Genomic DNA, 13443 nt, shown 5'->3' on the forward strand with positions numbered 1-13443 from the left:
TCTATTCATGGTCTTTATAGGTTAATTGTGTTTCTTGTAGGAAATAGATGGTTGGGTCTTGTTTTTTTTTGCATTCATTCAACCACTGTATGTCTTTGGATAGGAGGATTTAGTCTACTGCTTTTTATTTTTTATTTTAGATTTGCCCTTTTGAGGCTATTTTCTAGATCCTGTAGGCATGCTTTATTCTTTTTTATTCCTTTTTTTCTTTTGTCTTCTCTGACTGTATTTTCAAATAGCCTGTCTTCAAACTCACTGTGTTTAATCAATTTTGCTGTTAAGAGAGTCTGATGCATTCTTTAGTGTGTCAGGTGTATTTTTCTACTCCAGTATTTCTGCTTCTTTTTAATTATTTCAGTCTTTTTGTTAAATTTGTCTTATAGGATTCTGAGTTCTTTCTCTGTGTCATCTTGAATTTCTTTGAGTTTCCTCAAAGCAGTTTTTTTTTTTTTTTTTTTTTTGAGATGGACTCTTGCTCTGTCGCTGAGGATGGAGTACAGTGGTGCAGTCTCAGCTCACTGCAGCCTCTGCCGCCTGGGTTCAAGCAATTCTCCTGCCTCACCCTCCCGAGTAGCTGGAACTACAGGGGTGCGCCACCACACCCAGCTAATTTTTGTATTTTTAGTAGAGACGGGGTTTCACCATGTTGGCCAAGCTGGTCTTGAACTCCCGACCTCAGGTGATCTGCCCACCTCGGCCTCCCAAAGTGTTGGAATTACAGGCGTGAGCCACTGCACCCAGCCAAAACAGATATTTTTGAATTCTTTGTCTGAAAGGTTCCACATCTCTGTTTCTCCAGGATTGGTTTTTAGTGTCATATTTAGTTCATTTGGTGAGGTCATGTTTTCATAGATGGTCTAGAAGCTTGTGGATATTTGTTGGTGTCTGAGCATTGAAGAATTAGGTATTTATTGTAGTCTTCACAGTCTGACTTTGTTTATACCCATCCTTCTTGGGAGTGCTTTCAAGGAATTCAAAGGGAGTTGGGTGTTATGATCTGAGTTTTTGGTCACTGTAGCCATATCTCCATTAGGGGGCACTTCAAGCCTAGTAACACTGTGGCTCTTGCAGACTTGTAGAGGTACCACCGTGGAGGTTGTATTAGTCCATTTTCAAACTCCTAGAAGTATGCTACCTGAGACTGGTTAATTTATAAAGAAAGGGAGTTCAATTGACTCAGTTCTGCATGGCTGGGGAGGCCTCAGGAAACTTACAATCATGGCAGAAGGTGAAGGGAAAGCAAGGCACGTCTTACATGGGGGCAGGAGAGAGTGAGATCTCAGGGATAACTGCCACGTTAAAACCATCAAGATCTCATGAGAACTCCCTCACTATCACAACAACAGCATGAGAGAAACTGCCCCCATGATCCAATCACCTCCCACCAGGTCCCTCCCTCAACATGTGGGGATTACAATTTGAGATGAGATTTGGCTAGGGACACAGAGCCAAACCATATTATTCCACTCCTGGCCCCTCCCAAATTTCATGTCCTTTTCACATTTAAAAACCAATCATGCCTTCCCAATAGTCCCCCAGAATCAACTCATTCTAGCATTAACCCAAAAGTCCAAGTCCAAAGTCTCATGTGAGACAAGGCAGGTAGGTCCCTTCTGCCTGTGAGCCTGTAAAATAAAAAACAAGTTAGTTAGTTCCAAGATACAGTGGGGGTACAGGCATTGGATAAATGTTCCCATTCCAAACGGGAGAAGCTGGCTAAAACAAAGGGATTACAGGCCCCATGCAAGTTGAAAACCTGGCTGGGCAGTCATTAAATCTTAAAGCTCCAAAATTTCCTTTGACTCCATGTCATACATCCAGGGCATGCTGATGCAAGGGGTTGGCTCCCACAGCCTTGGGCAGCTCCACCCCTGAGGTTTTGCAGGGCACAGCTCCCACAGCTACTGTCATGAGCTGGTGTTTAGTACCTGTGGCTTTTCCAGGTGCACAGTGCAAGCTGTTGGTGGATCTACCATTCTGAGGTCTAGAGGATGGTGGCCCTCTTCTCACAGCTCCACTAGGCAGTGCCCAAGTAGGGACTATTAGTGGGGGCTCCAACTCACATTACCAGTCTGCATTTCCCTAGTAGAAGTTCTCCATGAGTGCTCTGCCCCTGCAGCAGACTTCTTCCTGGACATCTAGGCATTCATATATCCTCTGAAATCTAGGTGGAGGCTCCCAAAGTTCAACTCTTGTCTTCTGTGCATCTGTAGGCCCAACACCACGTGAAACTGTCAAAGCTTGGGGCTTGCACCCTCTGAAGCAATGTCCTGAGCTGTCCTTTTAGCCACAGGTGGAGCTGGAGCAGCTGGGACACAGGGCACCAAGTCCCAAGGCTGTACAGAGCAGCTGGGCCCTAGGCGGGGCCCACAAAACCATTTTTCCCTCCTAGGCCTCCAGGCCTGTGATGGAAGGGACTCCCGTTAAGATCTCTGACATGCCCTGGAGACATTTTCCCCATTGTCTTGGCTATTAACATTTGGCTCCTCGTTACTTATGCAAATTTCTGCAGCCAGCTTGAATTCCTTGAATGGGTTTTTCTTTTCTACTGCATAGTCAGGCTGCAAATTTTTCAAATTTTTATGCCCTGCTTCCCTTTTAAACATAAGTTCCAATTTCAAACCCTCTCTTTGTGAATGTACATAACTGAATGCTTTCAGAATAAGCCAGGTAACCTCTTGAATGCTTTGCTGTTTAGAAATTTCTCCTGCCAGATACCCTAAATCATCTCTTTCAAGTTCAGATCTCCAGGGCAGGGGAAAATTGCTGCCAGTCTCTTTGCTAATGCATAGCAAAAGTGACCTTTATGCCAGTTCCCAACAAGTTTCTCATCTCCATCTGAGACTACCTCAACCTGGACTTCATTGTCCATATCACTGTCAGCATTTTTGGTCAAAACCTTTCAGTAAGCCTCTAGAATGTTCCAGACTTTCCCACATCTTCCTGTCTTCCTCTAAGCCCTCCAGCCTGTTCCAATCTCTGCCTGTTACCCAGTTCCCAAGTTGCTTCCACATGTTCAGGTTATCTTTATAGCAGTGCCCCACTTCTGGCACCAATTCTTTGTATTCATTTTCACACTGCTTTAAAGATACTACCTGAGACTGGTAATTTATAAGTAAAAGAGGTTTAATTGACTAACAGTTCCACATGGTTGGGGAGGCCTCAGGAAACTTACAATCATGGCGGAAGGTGAAGGGGAAGCAAGACACATCTTACGTGGCAGCAGGAGAAAGAGAGCTCAGGGGAAACTGCCACTTCTAAACCATCAAGATCTCCTGAGAACTCCCTCACTATCGTGAGAACAAGGTGGGAACCACACTCATAATCTAATCACCTCCCACCAGGTCTCTGCCTCAACATATGGGGATTACAATTTGAGATGACATTTGGTTGGGTACTCAGAGCCAAACCATATCAGAAGTTTCTGATAAGATCCAGAAGAATTCTCTGGATTACCAGGTAGAGACTCTTGTTCTTTTCCTTTACTTTCTCCCAAAGAAATGGAGTCTGTCTCTGTGCTGAGCTGCTTGGAGCTGCTGTGACACAAGCACCCCTGTGGCCACCACCAGTGGGACTGTTCTAGGTTAGACCTGAAGCCAGCACACACTGGTTCTCGCCTGAGGTCTACAGGAACCACTTGCTGGATACTGCCTATGTTTGTTCAAGGCCCTGGGGCTCTACAATCAGCAGGTGGCAAAGCCAGGGAGTCTTGTGTGCTTTCCTTCAGGGTGGCGATTTCCCCCTGGCCCTAGGCAGGTCCAGAATTGCTGTCTGGGAGCCATGACCTGAAGTCAGAAACCTTAGTGCTTTATTCTGCTGTGGCTGAACTGGCATCCATGCCACAAGACAAAAAGTTCTTATTCTTTCCTCTTTTCCACAAACAGAGGAGTCACTCCCCATGGCCACCACTGCCCCAGGCTTGTGGTGACTGCTGGCTGCCTACCACTGATATTCATTCAAGGCCCAAGGGCTCTTTCGTCACCTTGGGTGAATGCTTCTAGGCCTGGAACTCTCACTTCAGGGCAATGGCCTCCCTTCTGGCCCAGGGCAGGTCCAGAAATGCCATCCATAAGCCAACACCTGGAATCAGGAACTCCTGGAGCTTACTTTGTACTCTACCCCTCTGTGGCTGAGCTGGCACTTAAGCTGCAAAACAAAGTCCTATTTAATCTTCCCTCTCCTTTTCTCAAGCAAAGGGAGTCTCTCCTCATAGCCACCATAGCTGGGAAATGTGCTGGGTCACACCTGAAGCCAGCACATCTCTGAGTCTCACCCAGGTGAGTACTGCCTGGCTACCACTGCTCACTATTCAGGACCCAAGTACTCTTTAGTCAGCAGGTGATGAATCCTGCCAGGACTGGGTCCTTCCCTGCAAGGCAGCAAGTTCCTTTCTGGCCCAGGGTATGTCTAGAAATGTCCAGGAACTAGGTCATGGAATGGAGGCCTCAGGACTCTGCCTGGCATCTCTATCATTCTGTGGCTGAGCTAGTATCCAGGTTGCAAGAGAAAGGTCTGTTTAATCTTCCGTCTTCCGAAGTGAAAGGAAGGACCCTCTCCTGGAGCAAGCTGTGCTGTCTAGGTTTGGGTATGGAGTGGTGCAAGTGCTTCCCTTGGCCATTTTGGCTGGTGTCTTACTAGGTTGCATACGCCCAAGTCAGCTGGCTCTGATTCCAGCACATCACCAAGACTTTCCTGGGAATTGTGTTTCTTATTGCTTTAGGCTATGGTATATGCTATTTTATCACAGAAACCCTAAATTACAGGTAAGTAGTCTAGAGCAGATAGCTGAGTTGCATATCTGGTGGCTGTGGCATCCTTCCATCTCTGGAAGTGTGACTTCCATTTCTGGGTCTAGAGTAACTGCTACAGCTATCATGATCTGCAGTATCTAGGAAGTGGGGGGCTTTAATGGGATACCTTTACTGGAATGCCTGGAAGTTTCACACATTCTTGCACTCTTCCCATGGGCTGAACAAAGTTACCCATATGTTCACACATGGCTGTAAGGGAGATTGGAAGTGTATATAGATGTATAGGTGTAAGGAGGTAGGGAAGTTGGACACGAGGTCATATTTGACAGTTTCTACCAATCATGAAAGAAAAACTAGTATATAGAAAAAAAATGTCCATAATAGTAAGATGAGGGCATATTTTTAAAATGAGATTCCATTTACCTCTATTAGCAATTAATCATTTCTTAATGACTATACACGTGCTGTTGGAGGAAGAGTAAATTGTCGCAGACATATTAATAAGCAATTTAGCAGTCAGTACTTTTTTGAAAACTTCATGAATGGTGTAATTTTTCACTTTGTAAAAAGAATTTACCTTGGATGGGTGATGGGGGAGAATAAGTATAAACAGGAAAATCTTTATTCACAGAATTCTTTATAATTGAACATTTTAACACAACCTGCATTTTCAACATTAGGCTAAGAGTTGACTATATTTAATCTGGTATAACCATAAAAATGTGAAGAATAGGAAGTAAAATGAATATTTTTATTATAAATAATAGAAAAGCTGAATTTCAAATTATGCATACTATATGCAGACAACTTTGTAAACAAATAAAAAACAGGAAAAGATGGGTAAGTTATACATTAAAATGTTAACAATAATTATCCTTGAGTGGTAGGACCTTGTAATTTTTACGTTTATATATTTTCTTAATATTGAAAATTCATACTCTTGCAGTGGAAACTATGTTTTGAAGCCCTGTCACATAGATGAGAATTAGACTTATTTTCTATGACTCTGGAAGCAGAATAAGACCAGTATAAGGGCTTAATTATGACCAGGTTAGGGTTCGATGTAAGATAACATGTTTTTTAGTTAGAGTCATCTATATATGGAATGGATTGCTAAAAAGTCATCTCAATGAAACATATCCCTACCATCCTACTTAAACTGTTTCCCCTGCATTTAAACCCCAATTTCTCCTGTATTCTTAATTACCTTCAGCATTTCTATATTTTCCCTGTATCACTTATAATGTATTAAAATGCTAGATAATTTACTCATTTAGTATGTTAATTATTTACTGTATATTTTCCTCCTCTAGAATTCTCATTCTTCTTGAAGGCAGAGATACATTTCTCTTTGTTTACTCATAAATTCCAAAAGTCATGAACACTGCCTGAAACATAGAAGGCATTCCATATTTGTTCAATGAATTAACAAATGTTTTTCATATTAATTGTTCTGATTTTTACCTCCTTAGGCCAGCCTTTATTATTGCCATATAAGCCTTCTGGTAGTACCAAGATGTATTATGTTCCACAATTAAGACAAATTCCTCCATCTCCGGATTCCAAATCAGATACCACCGTTGAAAGCTCCCATTCAGGTATTATGCAGAAATTATTCGAAGTTTTATTGTTTGATATTTTATTTGTGTATTGGCTAGTTGATTCTGGAGTGACAAAAGTCCAGTGCTCTTTAATTTTTCAGTGAAATATGGAACTTTTCATACCTTGATCTCTGGTTCAGATAGGTGAGTTATTTGATCAGATATATACACATAAGCATTTATAAATATTTGATGAAGGAAATTGTATGGATCATTATTTGGGTTAGTGGGCTCCATCTAGGGCAAAGTTTCTAAGCTTTCTTGGTTCACAGTACCCTTAGTTGTTTCACTGATTTATTTTCTCCGCTTTATATATAATAAGCAATTATTTTTTTCAAATAGCAACTAAGGAATTAGAACATAAATACTAATTGTTTTCCTCTGACAACTAATTTAACAAATTTGTTATTTATTTTTGGTTTTGGTTTTTGAAAAAAAAATTTGTTCATAAATAACAATGATGACTTACTAATGACATATGTGTAGCTGTTGGACACTGTGCAACTTCCCAAACCATGAGATGAGATTGGACCCTCTTATTTTCTGCCTTTTATTACAGCAGCTGCCAAAAATCCAGCTTTTGCCAAGGCACAACAGCATTGAAAAGAACATAGCACTATCTGATGTTGACACTTTGACCTTGAGCTAGTAGTTTATCACTGTCCTTTCCCTAGAATTTTAAACTATCCTGCAGCATCCCTGTGAATCCACTACAGAGGAGGTGCAGAGTTAGGAAATGAATAATACCCCATGGAGGCACTAGATAAATATTTCCTATGGAGATTTTAAGTTAAGGGTGCAGAGTTAGTGTGGTGTAGGGTTTTGATTGGTGGGACAGTATTTTGAGTTGTCGACGGGATATGACTTGATTCACTTTAGACAAATTGTTTTTTCCATGATTGTCTATAAATGTCATTATATATATAGAAATTACAAAGAAAGGAGAAGTTGCCCCTGGTCTTAGGCAGACATTTTTGTTACTTTGATATGAAAGAGAACCAAACTAGCTTCTGATAGTAACTGCACTAAAGCCTCTGATACAACCTCGCCTGATTTCCCACAATGATGGCATTGAAAAAAAAGAACCACAAAAATACTCACCACAAGTTAAGATTGTTAAGTTTATAGCCATAAATGAAGAAATGTTTACTCCTTGCAAGGCTATGGTTTTAAAAACACTGTTAATGGCTACCAGAAAGAAAACAAGCTCACTTAATTGATTGTAGGTAGGAAAATCTTCTGTCCCACTTACTCATAGTTCAGAAGACAGAATGTCTGTAAACAGTAGAAACCTGGTCAGATGTGCCAGTACTTTCTGAGGCCTCCAGTGTCCTGCTATCGATATACGTCACTAACACTTCCATCTGGTTGGAGAGATTAACTTAGAGAAAGACTGAACAGTGTAGGTGATGGGAGAAGAAAATGACTCAGGACTGGCACACTGTATCCTGATAAATATAGTTTCTGTAATAAAGTACTGTATGCATCAGTACGACAAAAAGAGATCTAGTTGCCATACACACTTGAGATTGTTTTTTCATGTTTTCATCTATTCTGAGAGTGAGGAAGTTGGGAATAGAAAATAATCCTTTCTTAGACCAGTAGACCTACACTGGATGAAAGCCTAGAAATTGTTCTAATTCCTAGCCGTTATCTATGAATATGTTGTACATCTATAGCTATGAGAGGAGCCAATTAGAGTTTGGGGCCAAGAGCAAGACATACATCATTGTTAGCAAATATTTGGGCCAAATAACTGTTCTTCAGTTGAGAATCAGTAAATAATAGAACTGATGCAAACAACGACGGCAAAAAACTGGGGCAAAGGAAACAGCCATCCAAAGAAAGAGATAAATGTCTGCAAATAAACCAGTCTTAATAGCAACCCAGGGAGTATTTATTCAAGAAAAATGGCCAAATCCCACTAAGCACAGTAAGCGTTAGCATTTTAACTTGCCCTAGTCCCATTCCCAGTACCTCAGCTCAGTGATAGCCTTCAGAAATATAGCTTTCTTTTCCAAGACCAGAGGATGCAAAATGGAGCTGGGCCTCTTTTAAAAGTTCCTTCCCAAAGAATTGTTAATATTTGACCTATCTAGTGGTTCCGTGAAGATTCCACACAAAAGGCTTATCTTTACTTGACCTGACTGGGAGCCATCCAGTGCTAAAGGCCTCTGGTGAAGGGGAGGGAAAGATGTTTATCAAAAACATTTACAGACAAGTATTTTAATATCATAATGGCTGAGGTGTGGACTAGCAGTTGAGGTAAACAGTAAACTAACTGGAAAGCTTAAAAGTAACACCCGAGGATAAGATGTTGATAGATTCTTTGAAAGGCGCTGACATATTCCTAAGACTCTGGGAGACCCCATGTATGCGTAGGCCTGTGTATGCTCAGGAAAGACCCAAGGCGCTAGGTCTTATCTCTGGCTGACCTTGAGGATCTGTACAAGAAGAAAAGGGAAGGCTAAGGTAAAGTTGACAGCTGCCTAGGTCAGTGTTGAAGGTACATCCCAACATATGTGTGGAGCCATTTGATGAAGGCCGGGAGATTTATTGGTTCTAGGCATTTAAGGAAATCCCTGTTCAGGCATTAGCTGACCATTAAGCTAATTGAGTAGTAACTTCAGTGGCCATATATAAAAAGAATATAGACTTTACAGAATTAATTCAGAGAAGTTATTAAAACAACATAAAGCAACAACACCAAACCCTGAGATGGAAGTAGAATCTGGTTTCCAGAGTTGGCGCATTGTATTACTTAAATGTCCAGGCCGGGTGCGGTGGCTCATGCCTGTAATGCCAGCACTTTGGGAGGCCAAGATGGGAGGATTGCCTGAGCCCTGGAGTTTGAGATCAGCCTGGGCAATGTAGTAAGACCCTGTCTCTACAAAAAATTAAAAATCAGCCAAGCATGATGGCCTACGCTTGTAGTCCCAGCTACTCGGAAGGCTGAGGCATGAGTATCACTTGAACCCTCGAGTTTAAGGCTGCAGTGAACTATGATTGCGCCACTGCAGTCCACTCTGGGCAACAGAGTGAGACCATGTCTCAAAGAACAAAAAAACAAAAAAACAAAGGCAACAAAAGAAAAATATATATGGGAGACTTTATCAAAATTCAAAACTTTTGTACACAAAACCCAGTCAAAAGAATGAAAAGGTGACTCACAGCATAGGAGAAAATATTTGCAAATCATTTATCTGTTGAGAGATTAATACCTAAAATATGTAAGGAACCCTTACAACTCAACAACAATAACCCAAACAATCTGATTCATAAATGGGCACAGAATCTGATGGACATTTCTCCAAGGAAGACGTGCAAATAGCCAATAAACACCTGAAAATCTTCTCTATATCATTAATCATGAGGGAAATACCAAACAAAACCATAGTAAGATACCACTTCACACCCATTACAATCACTGTTATTTTAAAAAATAAGCGGAGAGAGCCAAGATGGCCGAATAGGAAGAGCTCCAGTCTGCAGCTCCCAGTGTGAGCGATGCAGAAAACGAATGATTTCTGCATTTCCAACTGAGGTACTGGGTTCATCTCACTAGGGATTGTAGGACAGTGGGTGCAGGACAGTGGGTGCAGCACACCGAGCGTGAGCCGAAGCAGGGCAAGGCATCGCCTCACCCGGGAAGCGCAAGGGGTCATGGAATTCCCTTTGCTAGCCAAGGAAAGGAGTGACAGAAGGCACCTGGAAAATCGGGTCACTCCCACCCTAATACTGCGCTTTTCCAACGGGCTTAAAAAATGGCACACCAGGAGATTATATCCCGCACCTGGCTCGGAGGATCCTACGCCCACGGAGCCTCGCTCATTGCTAGCACAGCAGTCTGAGATCAAACTGCAAGGCGGCAGCGAGGCTGGGGGATGGGCGCCCTCCATTGCCGAGGCTTGAGTAGGTAAACAAAGCGGCCGGGAAGCTCGAACTGGGTGGAGCCCACCATACCTCAAGGATGCCTGCCTGCCTCTGTAGACTCCACCTCTGGGGGCAGGGCATAGCCAAACAAAAGGCAGCAGAAACCTCTGCAGACTTAAATGTCCCTGTCTGACAGCTTTGAAGAGAGTAGTGGTTCTCCCAGCACACAGCTGGAGATCTGAGAACGGACAGATTACCTCCTCAAGTGGGACCCTGACCCCTGAGTAGCCTAACTGGGAGGCACCCCCCAGGAGGGGCAGACTGACACTTCACACGGCCGGGTACTTCTCTGAGACAAAACTTTCAGAGGAACGATCAGGCGGCAACATTTGCTGTTCACCAATATTCGCTGTTCTGCAGCCTCTGCTGCTGATACCCAGGCAAATAGGGTCTGGAGTGGACCTCCAGCAAACTCCAACAGACCTGCAGCTGAGGGTCCTGACTGTTACTAACAAACAGAAAGGACATCCACACCAAAACCCCATCTGTACGTCACCATCATCAAAGACCAAAGGTAGATAAAACCACAGAGATGGGGAAAAAACAGAGCAGAAAAACTGAAAATTCTAAAAATCGGAGCGCCTCTCCTCCTCCAAAGGAACGTAGCTCCTCACCAGCAATGGAACAAAGCTGGATGGAGAATGACTTTGACGAGTTGAGAGAAGAAGGCTTCAGATGATCAAACTACTCCGAGCTAAAGGAGGAAGTTCGAACCCATGGCAAAGAAGTTAAAAACCTTGAAAAAAGATTAGACGAATGGCTAACTAGAATAACCAATGCAGAGAAGTCCTTAAAGGACCTGATAAAGCTGAAAACCATGGCAAGAGAACTACGTGGCGAATGTACAAGCCTCAGTAGCCGATTTGATCAACTGGCAGAAAGGGTATCAGTGATGGAAGATCAGATGAATGAAATCAAGCGAGAAGAGAAGTTTAGAGAAAAAAGAATAAAAAGAAACAAAGCCTCCAAGAAATATGAGACTATATGAAACAACCAAATCTACGTCTGATTGGTGTACTTGAAAGTGACGGGGAGAATGGAACCAAGTTGGAAAATACTCTGCAGGATATTATCCAGGAGAACTTCCCCAATCTAGCAAGGCAGGCCAACATTCACATTCAGGAAATACAGAGAATGCCACAAAGATGCTCCTCGAGAAGAGCAACTCCAAGACACATAATTGTCAGATTCACCAAAGTTGAAATGAAGGAGAAAATGTTAAGGGCAGCCAGAGAGAAAGGTCGGGTTACCCACAAAGGGAAGCCCATCAGACTAACAACTGATCTCTCAGCAGAAACTCCAATCCAGAAGAGAGTGGGGGCCAGTATTCAACATTCTTAAAGAAAAGAATTTTCAACCCAGAATTTCATATCCAGCCAAACTAAGCTTCATAAGTGAAGGAGAAATAAAATCCTTTACAGACAAGCAAATGCTGAGAGATTTTGTCACCACTAGGCCTGCCCTAAAAGAGCTCCTGAAGGAAGCACGAAACATGGAAAGGAACAACTGGTACCAGCCACTGCAAAAACATGCCAAATTGTAAAGACCATTGAGGCTAGGAAGAAACTTCATCAATCAACTAACGAGCAAAATAACCAGCTAACATCACGATGACAGGATCAAATTCACACATAACAATATTAATCTTAAATGTAAATGGACTAAATGCCCCAATTAAAAGACACAGACTGGCAAATTGGATAAAGAGTCAAGACCCATCCGTGTGCTGTATTCAGGAAACCCATCTCATGTGCAGAGTCACACATAGGCTCAAAATAAAGGGATAGAGGAAGATCTACCAAGCAAATGGAAAACAAAAAAAGGCAGGGGTTGCAATCCTAGTTTCTGATAAAACAGACTTTAAACCAACAAAGATCAAAAGAGGCAGAGAAGGCCATTACATAATGGTAAAGGGATCAATTCAACAAGAAGAGCTAACTATCCTAAATATGTGTGCACCCAATACAGGAGCACCCAGATTGATAAAGCAAGTCCTTAGAGACCTACAAAGAGACTTAGACTCCCACACAATAATGTGAGGACTTTAACTCCCCACTGTCAACATTAGACAGATCAATGAGACAGAAAGTTAACAAGGCTATCCAGGAATTGAACTCAGCTCTGCATGAAGCAGACCTAACAGACATCTACAGAACTCTCCACCCCAAATCAACAGAATATACAGTCTTCTCAGTACCATACCACACCTATTCCAAAAGTGACCACATAGTTGGAAGTAAAGCACTCCTCAGCAAATGTAAAAGAACAGAAATTATAACAAACTGTCTCTCAGACCACAGTGCAATCAAACTAGAACTCAGGATTAAGAAACTCACTCAGAACCGCTCGACTACATGGAAACTGAACAACCTGCCCCTGAATGACTACTGGGTACATAACGAAATGAAGGCAGAAATAAAGATGTTCTTTGAAACCAGTGAGAACAAAGATACAACATACCACAATCTCTGGAACACATTCAAAGCAGTGTGTAGAGGGAAATTTATAGCACTAAATGCCCACAAGAGAAAGCAGGAAAGATCGAAAATTGACAGCCTAACATCACAATTAAAAGAACTAGAGAAGCAAGAGCAAACACATTCAAAAGCTAGCAGAAGGCAAGAAATAACTAAGAGCAGAACTGAAGGAAATAGAGTCACAAAATACCCTTCAAAAAATCATTGAATCCAGGAGCTGGTTTTTTGAAAAGATCAACAAAATTGATAGACTGCTGGCCAGACTAATAAAGAAGAAAAGAGAGAAGAATCAAATAGACGCAATAAAAAATGATAAAGGGGATATCACCACCGATCCCACAGAAATACAAACTACCATCAGAGAATACTACAAACACCTCTATGCGAATAAACTAGAAAATCTAGAAGAAATGGATAAATTCCTCAACACATATACCTTCCCAAGACTAAACCAGGAAGAAGTTGAATCTCTGAATAGACCAGTAACAGGCTCTGAAATTGAGGCAATAATCGATAGCTTACCAACCAAAAAAAGTCCAGGACCAGATGGATTCACAGCCGAATTGTACCAGAGGTACAAGGAGGAGCTGGTACCATTCCTTCTGAAACTATTCCAATCAATAGAAAAAGAGGGAATCCTCCCTAACTCATTTTATGAGGCCAGCATCATCCTGATACCAA

General features: G+C 42.0%; 1 protein-coding gene across 2 annotated transcripts in view; it reads left to right on the plus strand.

Annotated features, from left to right (window-relative positions):
• ALMS1 (ALMS1 centrosome and basal body associated protein) overlaps positions 1 to 13443 on the plus strand; it is a 224162-nt gene that overhangs the window by 142843 nt on the left and 67876 nt on the right. For both annotated transcript variants that reach the window (NM_015120.4, NM_001378454.1), the window contains 1 exon segment: positions 6224 to 6349. In NM_015120.4, the coding sequence (NP_055935.4) occupies positions 6224 to 6349 (126 nt within the window).

The sequence above is a fragment of the Homo sapiens genome, chromosome 2, assembly GCF_000001405.40.
Source record: "Homo sapiens chromosome 2, GRCh38.p14 Primary Assembly".
Classification (NCBI taxonomy): domain Eukaryota; kingdom Metazoa; phylum Chordata; class Mammalia; order Primates; family Hominidae; genus Homo; species Homo sapiens.